Source organism: Homo sapiens, chromosome 16 (assembly GCF_000001405.40).
Source record: "Homo sapiens chromosome 16, GRCh38.p14 Primary Assembly".
NCBI classification, from domain to species: Eukaryota; Metazoa; Chordata; class Mammalia; order Primates; family Hominidae; genus Homo; species Homo sapiens.
In genome coordinates, this window is record NC_000016.10 from 19672695 (window position 1) to 19686540 (window position 13846).

Here is a 13846-nt window from a genome sequence, read left to right on the forward strand (position 1 = left end):
TCTAGAGCCCCTTCACTTGACACTTGATGTCACTGTTTTCAGATCTCCATATTAGTACTCTGTAAGTTTCTCTCTTTGGGTAAGCTAGTTATTTATCAAGTGAGAAGGCAAAAGAAAAAAAATCAGGGTTTTGAATTAAGCAGTTGGTAAAAGTGAGAAGGCAAAAGAAAAAAATCAGGGTTTTGAATTAAGCAGTTGGTAAAAGTCATTGTTTATTGATTAATCGGGATGCATTCAGCATCTGCAGGTTAAAAATCACTGGAGCCTTTTTGAAAAGCCTTCTCAGATTCAGAAGCTTCTGTTCAGTCCTGACCTGAAGAGTTCATAGCGCTGAGACTTTGGGAAAGTTTTATAACTCCTCAGAGCTTCAGTTGTCACCTTTCTGAGGTGTCATCACAGTGCCCACCTCAAATGACTCCTGTGAGGGTTAAATGAAATGATAGCTGGGAAAGTGCTTTGTAAACCTGAAACTCTGTCCCTGGGATTACAGATTGATGTCTGGAGGGCAGATCCAGCCGGTAGACATGTAGACACTTGCTGGCTATGTCCTGATGGAGAACATTTGGAATGAGTTTCCTACATTTAAAAATTGGTAGATCACAGAAAATCCCAGATTTGCATCTCCCCTTGAAAAATCAGGTCCTATCACGTGGGGCCCGCATCCTGCGACCTGGCCAGTTGGCTGCAGCTGGGTACCAGCTGCCCTGTGCAGGCAGCGTATGCCTTTCTCTCCAGTTTTCCTGGGTACCTCTGGACCCATTAACCCCATTTCTGTTGTCCACTTGGCCCCTTAGGCATTTGTGGAAAGAGCTCCTGCTCTCAACAGATTCATTATTCCTTGAACAGATTTGAGTTATTTATTCCTTGAACAGATTTATTATTCCTTGAACAGATTTGCGTTATTATTCCTTGAACAGATTTGAGTTATTTTTCCTTGTAGCATTGCATGTGTTTTAGCTGGGGTTTAGTAATGATATGAGACAAAGAATAGCTGCAGTTCACAACACCTCACTAGGTGCCCCATGCCTTGCTAACGCCACTCATTAATACTCACTTCCTGGGAGTCCTCCACCCAAGCCCCCCAAGGTAGGAATCATTGCACCTTTTTCACTCATGAAACCTGAGCCAGAGGGCCCTTGCAATGTGCCTGAGGTCACAAAGCTTATAAGTAGCAGAGCTGGGATTTGAACCGAGGGCTACGCTATTCCAGAGCCTGTCCTGCATGACTGAAGCCGGAAACGTTTGCAGTGTGCCTTATTTGCTCAAGTTCATTGAGCACTAGCAACCCTGTATCCCTCCTTGTGGGACGCGGCATTAGTAACTACTCACAGATGCTACAGGATGTTTATCCTGAATAGCCAGGGCTAAGAGCTGAATAAACTCTCAGGTGATGGGATGCGCCACACCTGAGCCATGCCCATTATGAGTAGATCTAGCATTAACAAGACTCCCACATCTCACTTCTACCTGGTTCAGTTTTTTTCTTTTTCTTTTTTTTTTTTTTTTTTTTTTTTTGGAGAATCTTCCTCTGTCACCCAGGCTAGATGGAATGCAGTGCGCGATCTCGGCTCACTGCAACCTCTGCCTCCTGGGTTAAAGCAATTCTCGTGCCTCAGTCTCCCAAGTAGCTGAGACTACAGGCGCCCACCACCACACCTGGCTAATTTTTTTTTTGTCTTTTAGTAGAGACAGGATTTCATCATGTTGGCCAGGCTGGTCTCGAACTCCTGAGCTCAAGTGATCTGCCTGCCTTGGCCTCCCAAAGTGCTGGGATTTGTGCTGGGATTACAGACATGAGCCTCTGCGTGCAGCCTACTCAGTTCAAATTATTTGTTACCTTTCAGGTCACAGCTTTTATTTTAGTTTTATTGTATTGGGGCGAGAACACTTAAGGTGAGATCTACCCTCTTAACCGGTTTTTACGTGTACAATACATTACTATTGACATAGAAACTGTGCTGTGTAGCAGATCTCTAGAGCTTATTCATAACTGAAACTGTCCATTGGTTAGTAATTCTTCATTCCCCTACCCCCACCCCCTGCAACCACCATTCTACTCTCTGATTCTATGAATCTATTTTAGATACTTTCTTTATATGTGGACTCATGCAATATTTGTCTTCCTGCAACTGGCTTATTTCACATAGTTTAATGCTTTCGAGGGTCATCCATGTTGTTACATATGGCAGAATTTCCTTCTTTTTTAAGGCTGAATAATATTCCATTGTGCATGTGTATAATGTTTTCTTTTCTTTTCTTTCTTTTTTTTTTTTTGAGACAGGATCTCACTCTGTTATCCCGGCTGGAGTGCAGTGGCATAATCACACTAGCGGCATCAACCTTGACCTCCTGGGCTCAAATATTGTCCCAACTCAGCCTCTTTGAATAGTTGGGACCACATGGGCAAGCCACCAGGCCCATCTAATTTTTGAGTTTTGTGGCGACAAGGTCTCACTATTTTTCCCAGGCTGGTCTTGAACGCCAAGGCTCAAGTGCTCCTCCAGCCTTGACTTCCCAAAGTGCTGGTGTTACAGGTGTGAGTCACTGCACCCAGTCTTTTTTTTTTTTTTTTGAGTCTTGCTCTGTTGCCCATTCTGGAGTGCAGTAGTACAATCATAGCTCACTGCAGCGTGAGCCACTGCACCCAGCTACCTCATTTTTTGTTAGCAATTTATCTGTCAATGGACATATAGATTGTTTCCACATCTGAGCTCTTGTGAATAATGCTGCAATGAGCATGGGAGTGTAGGTATCTCCTCAAGATCCTGATTTCAATTTGTTTGGATATGTACCCAGAAGTAGCATTGCTGGGTCATGTGGTAGCTCTATTTTTAATTTTTTTAGGAAACTCCATACTGTTTTTGTTTTGTTTTGTTTTGTTTTTGAGACAGGTCACCCAGGCTGGAGTGCAGTATTGCAGTCTCGGCTCACTGTAACCTCTGCCTCTCCAGTTCAAGTGATTTTCCTGCCTCAGCCTCCCGAGTAGCTGGAATTACAGGCGTGTGCCACCATGCCCAGCTAATTTTTGTTTTTTTAGTAGAGACAATGTTTCACCATGTTGGCCAGGCTGGTCTCAAACTCCTGACCTCAGGTGCTCAGCCCCCCTCCGCCTCCCAAAGTGCTGAGATTACAGGCATGAGCCACTGCACCCGGTCCCCATACTGTTTTTCATGGGGACTGCACTGTTTTGCTTTCCTACCCACAGTATGAAAGATTTTCTTAAAGGATGGGTTTGAAAGTTTGATTCATTTTATTTGTTTAGAAAAGATAGGAACTACCAGGCACGGCTGCTCATACCTGTAATCCCAGCACTTTAGGAGGCCATGGTGGGTGGATCACCTGAAGTCAGGAGTTCGAGACCAGCCTGGCAAATGTAGCAAAACCCCATTTCTACTAAAAATACAAAAGTCAGCTGTGCATGGTGGCATGCGCCCATAACCCCAGCTGCTCAGGAGGCTGAGGCAGGAGAATCATTTGAACCCAGGAGATGGAGGTTGTAGTGAGCCAAGATTATGCCATTGCACTCCAGCCTGGGTGACAAGAGCAAAACTCCGACTCAAAAAACACACACACAAAAAGAAAGGATAGAAACCATTTGATACCAGATCAAGTCCCTGGTCCAATTTATTGATTCTTACAAATGTGGGAGTAAACAGTCCCCAGGGTGGCCCTCTCTCCCCTGCAGACAGAGAACTTTTTGGAGCATGTTGAAATGTTCTGCTTTAGCATCAGTAGTCGTCAGCCTAGTCAGGGACTAGTTTGTGGAATAATCTTCCCTATATAATCAAACTGGCTCATTTCATGTAACAATGTGGTAAGACAAAGTAGACTTGACTGAACAAGTTCAGTGTCACAGTTTTGAGGCCTAGTTTTGATACAGTTGCAATTTGCAAGAAATGGAAATGCTACTACCATCAGTTTTGTAGCACTAACGATCTCGGATCCAGCAGGGAGATGTCTTTTCTCCTACTTATCCTGGAGAAAAAGGTCCAGCCATAAACACAGCAAGTTGTCCAGGTCTATGTTTCATCATTCCGTCTATTCCACAAACATTTGTCGATCCAGGAATTAAGGAGTGAGCAAGAGAAGCATACCCCAACTCAGGAGGACAGACTTCATGTTAAACAAATAAGTACACATTTAACTACAATTGCACAAAGCGCCATAAAGAACTACAGAAGCCAACTACAGTTGGCACTGGTCCACCAAGAGGCTGATGACTACTGATTAGTGCTGGAAAACTGATGGTATTAGTAATAACACTTCCAGCTTCTCAGGAGGCTGAGGCGGAAGGATTGCTTGAGGCCAGGAGTTCGAGACCAGCCTGGGCAACATAGCAAGACCTCATCTCAAAAGAAAAAGTTTTCTTTTTTTCTTTTTTTTTTTTTTGAGATGGAGTCATGCTCTGTCACCCAGGCTAGAATGCAGCGGTGTGATCTCGGTTCACTGTAACCTCCGCCTGCTAGGTTCAAGCGATTCTCTTGCCTCCGCCTCCCGAGCAGCTGGGATTATAGGCACCTGCCACCGTGCCTGGCTAATTTTATTTATTTATTTATTTATTTGTATTTTTAGTAGAGATGGGGTTTCACCATCTTGGCCAGGCTGATCTTGAACTCCTGACCTCGTGATCCACCTGCCTCGGCCTCCCAGAGTGCTGGAATTACAGGCGTGAGCCATGCGTCCAGCAAGAAAAAGTTTTTTAATGAACCATAGAGACCTCTCAGAGCTCCAGATTTGGGGGATGGGGTCAGATAATCAGGAGAGTTCCCGAAGAAAGTGCCATTTGAGCTGTGATCTGAAGGAACACTAGTAAGTAGTCAGCTAGGCACAGATGGGGAGAGGAGAGGGCATTCTGGGCCGAGGACACAGCGTGGGTGAAATCCTGGAGGTGGGAAGCGGCACTGTGCTCCAGAGGGACTGGAGGAGAGCCAGAGTGACTGGCACATCAGGAGGGCACAGGGGATGCCCGAGCTGCTGGTGAGACAGACAGGACTGAGAGAAACAGCAAGCTGGTCTCTGACAGCTTCCCGTCAAGTGGTGATCTGTCTCCCTTCGTCCTCCCCTGCCCTCCCACTATCTCTGTTTTCCCCAGTGCCCTTTCTTTCCTTTCCCTGTTCTTCCTTTTGGAAGAACATACGAGCTCACCTGTGTTCTGGTTCCTTTTCTAAAGGGCTTTATGATTACTTAACCAACCTCATAACCATGGACCAGCCAACATTTCACAAATACTCACTCAAAACAAGCCTGTTATTATCACCCTCGTTTCACAGAAGTGGAAACTGGGGTGCAGAAAGATGAAGGGTCAGCAGCTGGTCAGTGACGAGCCAGGGTCCAAGGCCAGGATGTCTGCCCAGCCGCCATGCTCACTGCCTTTCATCTTGGTTCTCCTAGGAAGAGTTAGTTACTTCTAGGGTATTATTAGATTGGTGCAAAAGTAATTGTGGGTTTTGCCATTGAAAATAATTACTTCTACACCAACCTAATACTTTTTTCCCAAGGGGTTTAGTAGAAGGATTCCTGCAGACCAGAAACCCAGAGGGATATTGCTGATGTGGTAGGTGTTGGGCCAGCAGGGAGAGAGGTCTGAGCCCCTGCCAGGTGCTACCTGGGAGCCACTTTGTCAGCATTTGTTTGTTCTACTTGGGAGGTAGCCCTGCCAGGGACACCTGGGGACACCTTTTCCCACTGGAAGCGCCATCTGAATCCAGAACCGTTTTCTTTGTCTTAAGAAAAAAAAAAAATCTTTGTCTGCCTTACTTCAGCTGTTGGCACTGAACCATCTGTACATTTTTTTTTTTTTTTGAGAGGAGTCTCGCTCTGTTGCCCAGGCTGGAGCGCAGTGGCACGATCTCGGCTCACTGCAACCTCTGCCTCCCAGGTTCAAGCAGTTCTCCTGCCTCAGCCTCCCAAGTATCTGGGACTACAGGCACGTGCCACCATGCCCAGCTAATTTTTGTATTTTTAGTATAGATGGGGTTTCACCATGTTGGCCAGGCTGGTTTCAAACTCCTGACCTCAAGCAGTCCACCTGCCTCGGCCTCCCAAGGTGCTGAGATTACAGGCTTGAGCCACCACACCCAGCCCATCAGTACAATTAAAAAAAAAAAAGTTACAACCACTGAAGCATGGATGTCACATGGGAAACTTTGTCCATGTACAGAAGGTTGGAAATAGTCTCCCAGCTCTTCGGTTGTGAGCAAAAGCTCACGGAAATGGCTCACTACAAACCTTTACGTCTCCACTGGCCCTTGTACCACCTTTTTGACAGTGTGTTGCATGGTCTGTCACAAGACTTATGCATTTGTGTTGAAATGAAGTTGCTGGAACATTCAGATTGTTGTCTATTCCCAAGGCAGATCCTTAAATAAAATATATTTTTGGACAGCCACATAGCAGAACCGAATAGCCTAGTTAAAAACAGCTGTTAGCAAAAGAAGGCTGGGGGGGCGGGGGTGGGGAGGCGGGGGGGCGGGGAGGTTCCCAGCTGAAACCAGCTCTGAGTGGAAAGCAGATCATGGCATGGGCAATTTTGATGTGTGTAGTTTGTGGATGTCAGACTTTTGAGCATCTTGTATTCTCATTCTTGCCAGTATCATAAGAGCAATTCTTTTTTTCTTTTTGTAAGATGGTCTCACTCTGTCACCCAGGCTGGAGTGCAGTGGTGCCATCATAGCTTTCTGTAGCTGAGACCACAGGTGCACACCACCACACGTGGCTAATTTTTTTTTTTTTTTGTAGAAACAATATTTGTTATGTTGCCCAGGTTAAGAACAATTATTTATTTATTTATTTATTTATTTATTTATTTATTTATTTATTTATTTTTTTGGAGACAGAGTCTCGCACTGTCACCCGGGCTGCAGTGCAGTAGTGTGATCTCTGCTCGCTCATCCTCCACCTCCTGGGTTCAAGCAATTCTCCTGCCTCAGCCTCCTGAGTAGCTGGGATTACAGGCGCACACCACCACACCCGGCTAATTTTTGCATTTTTAGTAGAAACGGGGTTTCGCCATGTTGGCCAGGCTGGTCTCAAACTCCTGACCTCAAGGGATCCGCCCATCTCGGCCTTCTGAAGTGCTGGGATTACAGGCGTGAGCCACCGCTATCTAGCCCAGGCTAAGAGCAATTCTTACAGATATTAACAGCTTGTACAAAACATCCCACGCCCCTCCACAATTGTCCTCACCCACTTGAAAGTATGACTGCAATATGTACACACATTCACGTTGGATATAATGGCAATGCTGCTCATACTCCACACTTGTATTCTAAGTAGCTGACTGCATGTATGCCTCCCCCTGTTCACAAGTTCTATAAAGTCAGAGACGCTTGGTTTATCTGCAGAGAGGCAGTGCGAATCTGGTACCAGTAGTTAGAAATGTCCACTCTGGAGCCAAACTCCTGGGGCTTGAACCTTGGGTCCCCCATGTACCAACTGTGTGACCTTGGGCCACTTACCCTCTCAGTGGCTCATTTCCCATCTGCGAAATGGGGCTTCGTCGTAGTATCACCCTGGAACATAGAAAAGCTATGGTAGCTGCTATTAATATTAGCTGTTGTTGTTTTCATAGCCACTTCAGTACCTGACACATAGAAGGTACCCAAAAACTACAATCCATTCAACATTATTCACCCAATGCATGTCAGTGCCCAGCACTGTCCCAGGAGCCAGAGACAGGGCGGGATTGAATGTCATCAGGGACACCATCCACATTGAGTTCCTGGAGGCGCCATTAACAGAATACAGTGTGCAGCCAGCAGACCTGGCGGTGTATTGGCAAATGCAATAGATGAAGTGCCTGTCCTCCTGGAGGTTATAGGCTAGCATGAAACAGAGAGAACCAGGAAAACCACGAGATATTGTTGGGCAGGTCATTGAAGGAATACCTAAGATCATTTCAGATAGTGAGAAGTGCTCTGTAAAAAACAACACAGAGGCTGGGCGCGGTGGCTCATGCCTTTAATCCCAGCAGTTCAGGAGGCCAAGGCAGGTGGATCGCTTGAGCCCAGGACCTTGAGACCAGCCTGGGCAACATGGCAAGACCTCATCTCTACAAAAAATAGAAATTCGCCAAGCGTGGTGGTATGTACCTGTAGTCCCAGCACCTCAGGAGGCTGAGGTGGAAGATCGCTTGAGCTCAGAGTCAAGGCTCCAGCGAGCTGTGATTGTGCCACTGTACTGTAGCCAGAGTGACAGAGTGAGACCCTGTCTCAGAACCCGCCCCCCCCCTAAAAAAACAGGATGATTTGTGATGAAGAGAGAGTAAGAGGACTGCAGATGGAATGTCAGGGAAGGCCTCATTAAAGAGCTAATGTGTAAGATGAGAACTGCAGGCTACCAAGGAGCCGTCTGGCCAAGCCCTGGGGCACAGACTCTAGTCAGAGAGAACGTGCCTGGCTGGAGGCCAGCACCTGGACGTGTGTGCCAGCCCCTGGTGCCACTCTGTGCCCTTTGTCCTACTGTGTGTGGGGGAGACTGGCCTCTGGGGACTGCCTCACCTATCCTTCCTCTAGCTCCCAATTTGTTCAGCCAGTAGGAGGCAGCAGCATATGCAGGGCAGGAGGAAAGCGAGGCTGGGGTATTTCTCCCCCATTCCTCCTGGGCCATGTTTTGGCGATGGCTTTGTTCCTGCAAGCAAGACTACATCTTGGGCTAGATGGCCTCTTGCCGCTGCAGGTTCCAATCATGCTGTTCCCCCTGCCGCTGCGGGTTCCAATCGTGCTGTTCTCCCCACCTTAATGTGGCTGGGGTAAGGGAAGGGGACCCGCATGGGGTGGGCTAGCAAGGCCATGGAAGGGGCTGGCCGTGCAGAGCTTCTGCACAGAGTGAGAAGTCTGGAGAGCTTTCAGCAGGGCATCCCCAGACTCACATACACCTTTTTGGAATGGAATTGAAGCTGCTTACTTTTTTACACCCCAAAACTTTTTATAGATTCAGTTTAGCATCTGAGAAACACTGTTTGCTATAAACTCTGTGACTGTCTCTCAGGTTTTGCCTCTCCCAAGAGAGCGTCCTCCATTTGGCTGTTACCGTTGTTGAGCATCCCAAAGAGTGAGGCTCTATTTAAAGTCACTGCCTCGAGTGGTGGCAGGGATCATCCGGGGGCTCACCCAGCGTAGGTGGCTTCTACCGTTCCATCTGCTACGATACCCGCGATCCTGCTTTTGTGGTTGGAACAGGGCTTCCTTTTTTTTTAACTCCCACCACCCACAGAAAAATAAGAGTGTAATTTTGGAAACAGGCCATTAAGCTGACAGGTAACTTTGCCTTCTCCTTTTTGGGATCCAAAAAGGGATTCTCAAAGCTCGTTTGCCCAGACAGGAGCGTGTTGATTCGTGGGAATCACGTTTTGTCATTTTCCTCTGTATTGTTTAACCAGGCTTGTGAGTGGGTCTTGCCTTTGTTCAGTAACTGACAACGTTAATTTCTCTACAGCTGCTGCGGGAGGATCTGGGCTTCTGTGTTGATTTTCTTTTTCCCTCCCTGCTTCATCTTTGGGATTATTTATCCTTTTTTCGGTTCTCTGCTAGGATCATCCTGAACATGGGGTCCTGTTTCTTGTTCGAGAGCTTCTCAACGTGATCCAGGACTACACCTGGGAGGACAACAGCGATGAGAAAATCCGCATCTACACCTGCGTCCTGCATCTCCTCTCCGCCATGAGCCAGGAGACGTACCTTTACCACATAGACAAAGGTAGCAGAGCCTCCCCCACCAAACCATGCTCCGCATGGATTTCATGAAAGGCAGACAGAATGCTTTCATTTTCTCTTTTATTTTTTCCTCCCTTGTATTTTAGCTTCCATGAACTTCTAGTCCAGGGTCTCACTGTATTTACCTGATCTAAGATTTACCTGGAGCAACTCTTAAGAGTACAGATTCTTGGGCCGGGTGCAGTGGCCCACGCCTGTAATCCCAGCACTTTGGGAGGCCAAGGCAGGCGGATCACCTGAGGTCAAGAGTTCCAGACCAGCCTGGCCAACAGAGCCAAACCCTGTCTCTACTAAAAAAACAAAAATTAGCCAGGCCTGATGGTGCACCCCTGTAATCCCAACTACTCGGGAGACTGAGGCAGGAGAATCGCTTGAACCTGGGAGGCAGAGGTTACAGTAAGCCAAGATGGCACCACTGTACTCCAGCCTGGGCAACAAGAGTGAAAACACCATCCCAAAAAGGAAAAAAAAGAGTACAGATTCTTCAGCCCCATCCTGCCCTTGATTGATTGATTGATTGATTGATTGATTGATTGAGACAAGGTCTCACTCTGTCCCCCAGGCTGGAGTGCAGTGATGTGATCTCGGCCCACTGCAGCCTTTACAGCCCAGGCTGAAGCAGTCCTCCCACCTCAGCTTCCCAAGTAGCTGGGAATACAGGCATGTGCCACTGCTCCTGGATAATTTTTTAAATTTTTTTTTGAAGACGGGGTTTCACCATGTTACGCTGGTCTCAAACGCCTGGGCTCAAGTAATCTACCCGTCTCAGCCTCCCAAAGTGTTGGGATTATAACCATGAGCCACCACACCTGGCCTTCCCTTCTTAATTTGCATCTTTAACAAGCACCTGAGATCATGTTGAACATCAGACCAGTCTGGAGAAACACTGTTTAAAAAAATAATTATAATAATTTCAACTTCTATTTTAGATTTAGGAGGTATACGTGCAGGTTTGTGACAGGGGTATATTGTGCAATGCTGAGGTTTGGGGTGCAAATGAGATAGTACCCAATAGGTAGTTTTTCAGCCCTTGTCCCCTCCCCTTCCTCCCCACTCTAGTGGTCTCCAATGTCTGTTGTTTCCATCTTTATGCCCATGGGTACCCAATGCTTGGGGCCCACTTACAAGTGAGAACATGGCGGTAGTTAGTTTTCTGTTTCTGCACTAGTTCACTTAGGATAATGGCCTCCAGTTGCACCCATGTTGCCACAAAGGCCATGATTTCATTCTTTTTTAGGGCTGCATAGTATTCCATTGTGTGTATGTACCACATTTTCTTTATCCAATCCACTGTTGATGAGCATCTAAGTTGATGCTATGTTTTTGCTATTGCGAATAGTGCTGCAGTGAACATACGTGTGCATGTGTCCTTTCAGTAGAACGATTTATTTTCCTTTGGGTATATACCCAGTAATGGGATTGCTGGGTCAAATGGTAGTTCTGTTTTCAATTCTTTGAGAAATCTCCAAAACTGCTTTCCACAGTGGCTGAACTAATTTGCATTTCCACTGACAGAGTGTTAAGTGTTCTCTTTTCAGAGGAACCCTCTTTTGGATCAGTGTGCTACACAATAAACTGGAACAATGGCTAAATATACACATGCATGAGCTTCGTGCCAGGCCTGTTCCTTACCACAGTCTCAGGAAGGACCCTGGTGTGGGTGTTTGCAACTGCTCCTCAGATGATGCCAAGGCTCAGCAGCCCTTGTCTGGGTGCTCTGGAGGAAGGAGGTGGCCTTGATCACCTGCTACCAGACATTTTGAACTTGCTAGTACAAGTTGGGAGCAGCCTCCTCGTGTCCTGGACTTACCACAGGACATCCCAGTTCCAGGCCTTTTCCCACTGAGCCCAAGTATCCTCCTGCCTGGCGGACCCTCAGTTCTAATTTTTGGATTCCAAAAATTGGTCTTAATGTCAAAAGTGCTTTGGCCAGTAATTGTATACTTTACAGTTAAAAAACCAACTCTACACTTGCAAGTTGCAGTGAACACATTAGCAGTGCTTAAGGGATGGCCTGCCTTCTGTCATACCTCTCAGGCTTTCTCTAGCTGGGTCTGGGGACTGAGGATAAAGATGTAATGCAGGGAGGCTGGTTCATAGCAAGAATGATGGCGCCTACCCTGATCTGAGCACTTACTGCGTGCCAAGGACTACATCAGGCTCTACAGGCCTTTTTCCCTTAATCCTTACAGCTTTACTATGAGGACAGGCATTCATGTCCCCATTTGATGTGTAAGCAAGAGGAGATCCAGAAAGACAATGTGATATACTCCAGGGCTTCCGGTAGTTAGTGATGGAAGTGAAACTCACACCCAGAGTGGTGGGACGTGCATTACACTGCTTTGTTGATTACAAAATAACAGTGTTGGCTGGGCACAGTGGCTTGTGCCTATAATCCCAGCACTTTGGGGGGCAGACGCAGGCGGATCACCTGAGGTCAGGAGTTCGAGGCTAGCCTGACCAACATGGCGAAACCTCATGTATACTAAAAATACAAAAAAATTAGCCAGGCTGTTGGCAAGCGCCTATAATCCCAGCTACTTGGATGGCTGATGCAGGCGAATCGCTTGAGCTCAGGAGGCTGCAGTGAGCCAAGATCACACCACTGAACTCCAGCCTGGGTGACAGAGCAAGACTCCATCTCAAAAAAAAAAAAAAAGCAATGTTTTAATTAAAGTGTATTATATAACATATATGCAATAAACTATAGAGCTCAGTGAATTGTCACAAAGTGAACACTCGCAGGTAACCACAGTCCAGATCAAGAAATAGAACACCTCCTTCAGTCAGCATCACCACCCTACTCTCGAAGACACACCACTCTCTCTCCTGACTTCTAGCATTATTTATTAGTTTGCCACTTTCTGAATAAGTAAATATTTGCAAGCATTCTTTGGTATTTGGCTGCTTTAACTCAGCATGATGTCCAAGATTCATCTGTGTTGGTATGCAAAACGGTAGTTCACCTTTTGCATTGCTGTATAGTATTCCTTTGTGTGGATGTACCAAAATTGATTCATTCCTTCTGGATGGAAATTTGCATGTGGCCAGGTCCAGTTTGGGGCTATTATGAGTAATGCAGCTGTGAACATTCTTGCATGTATTTCTTGGTGTACATTCCCATTGGCTGTCTGCGTGGAGGTGGCGTTGCTGGCTCATAGGATCTGCTTATATTCTGCGTTGGAGGATACTGCCTCACAGTTTCCCAAAGGGTTAAACCAATTGACATTCCCACCAGGCACGAATGAGGCTTCCATTTGTTCAGTTGCTATGGTCATTCTTTTTCATGTCAGCTGTTCTAGGAGTGGAGTTTGCATTTCTCTGATGGCTGGCGAGGTTGAACACCCTTTCCTGTATTTCTTGGCGTCTTTGTTTCCCCTTTTGTGAAGTGAACATTGAAGGCTCTGAACAAGAGAGAAAGCTTTGAGGACCAGACAGAGACCTGGAAGTGAGGCTATCACAGGAGCATGCCCTGCCCTCTCCTCTCTCTCCTCTCCTTCCTCTCCCTCCTCTCCTTCCTCTCCCTTAAACAGATTCAGCCCATCCTTTCTCTGAACAAGGCCGCCAGCGAAGACGACTAGAGCCAGATTGGCAGCAGAGGGAGCGAGGCTATATTTGATAGGCAAGAGTGTAGTTTTCTAGCTTTTAGAGATGAAAACAGAAGGATGGATTTTCTTTTTCTTCTTCTTAGTCCAGCTGTGTTTACTTTGAATGTGCAACTGTGACCTGCCCGGCGTCTTGGTAGGAGACCCAGGGAATCACAGAGTCTCTGCAGGTTGTGGGGGCTCCTTTTTCCCTGTTCACTTCCTCATTCTAGGGAGGCTTTTAGACGATGTTGACACAGCTTAGAACTTGGAAGAGAGGGATTAAATAATTTCTGCATTTTTGGAGGATGCCTTGGCCACTTTCTTCCCAGATTAAGAAAAAGAGAAGGCTCTGACATTGCCTGGAGCAATCCCTCCGGTGCTTTTACACGAGGTTACAAGACAGCGTGCATGTTTGATGTAGAAGTGAAGAATAGTCTTGGATCCTCAATGTTTATGTATTTAGTATGCAGATAGAGTGTGTCTTTATTGGAAGAGTACAACTCAGGATGCTTCTGTGAAGCCAAGGCAGCCCTCCTCACTCTTCCA

General features: G+C 46.5%; 1 protein-coding gene across 7 annotated transcripts in view; it reads left to right on the forward strand.

The window, feature by feature from the left end:
• VPS35L (VPS35 endosomal protein sorting factor like) overlaps positions 1–13846 on the forward strand; it is a 145461-nt gene that overhangs the window by 116992 nt on the left and 14623 nt on the right. For all 7 annotated transcript variants that reach the window (NR_158161.2, NR_158160.2, NM_001365295.2 and 4 more), the window contains one exon: positions 9531–9696. Coding sequence is in view for 5 of the 7 variants with exons in the window: in NM_001365295.2 (NP_001352224.1) it covers positions 9531–9696 (166 nt within the window). In the remaining 2 variants the exon portion in view is untranslated. The remainder of the gene's footprint in view (positions 1–9530; positions 9697–13846) is intronic.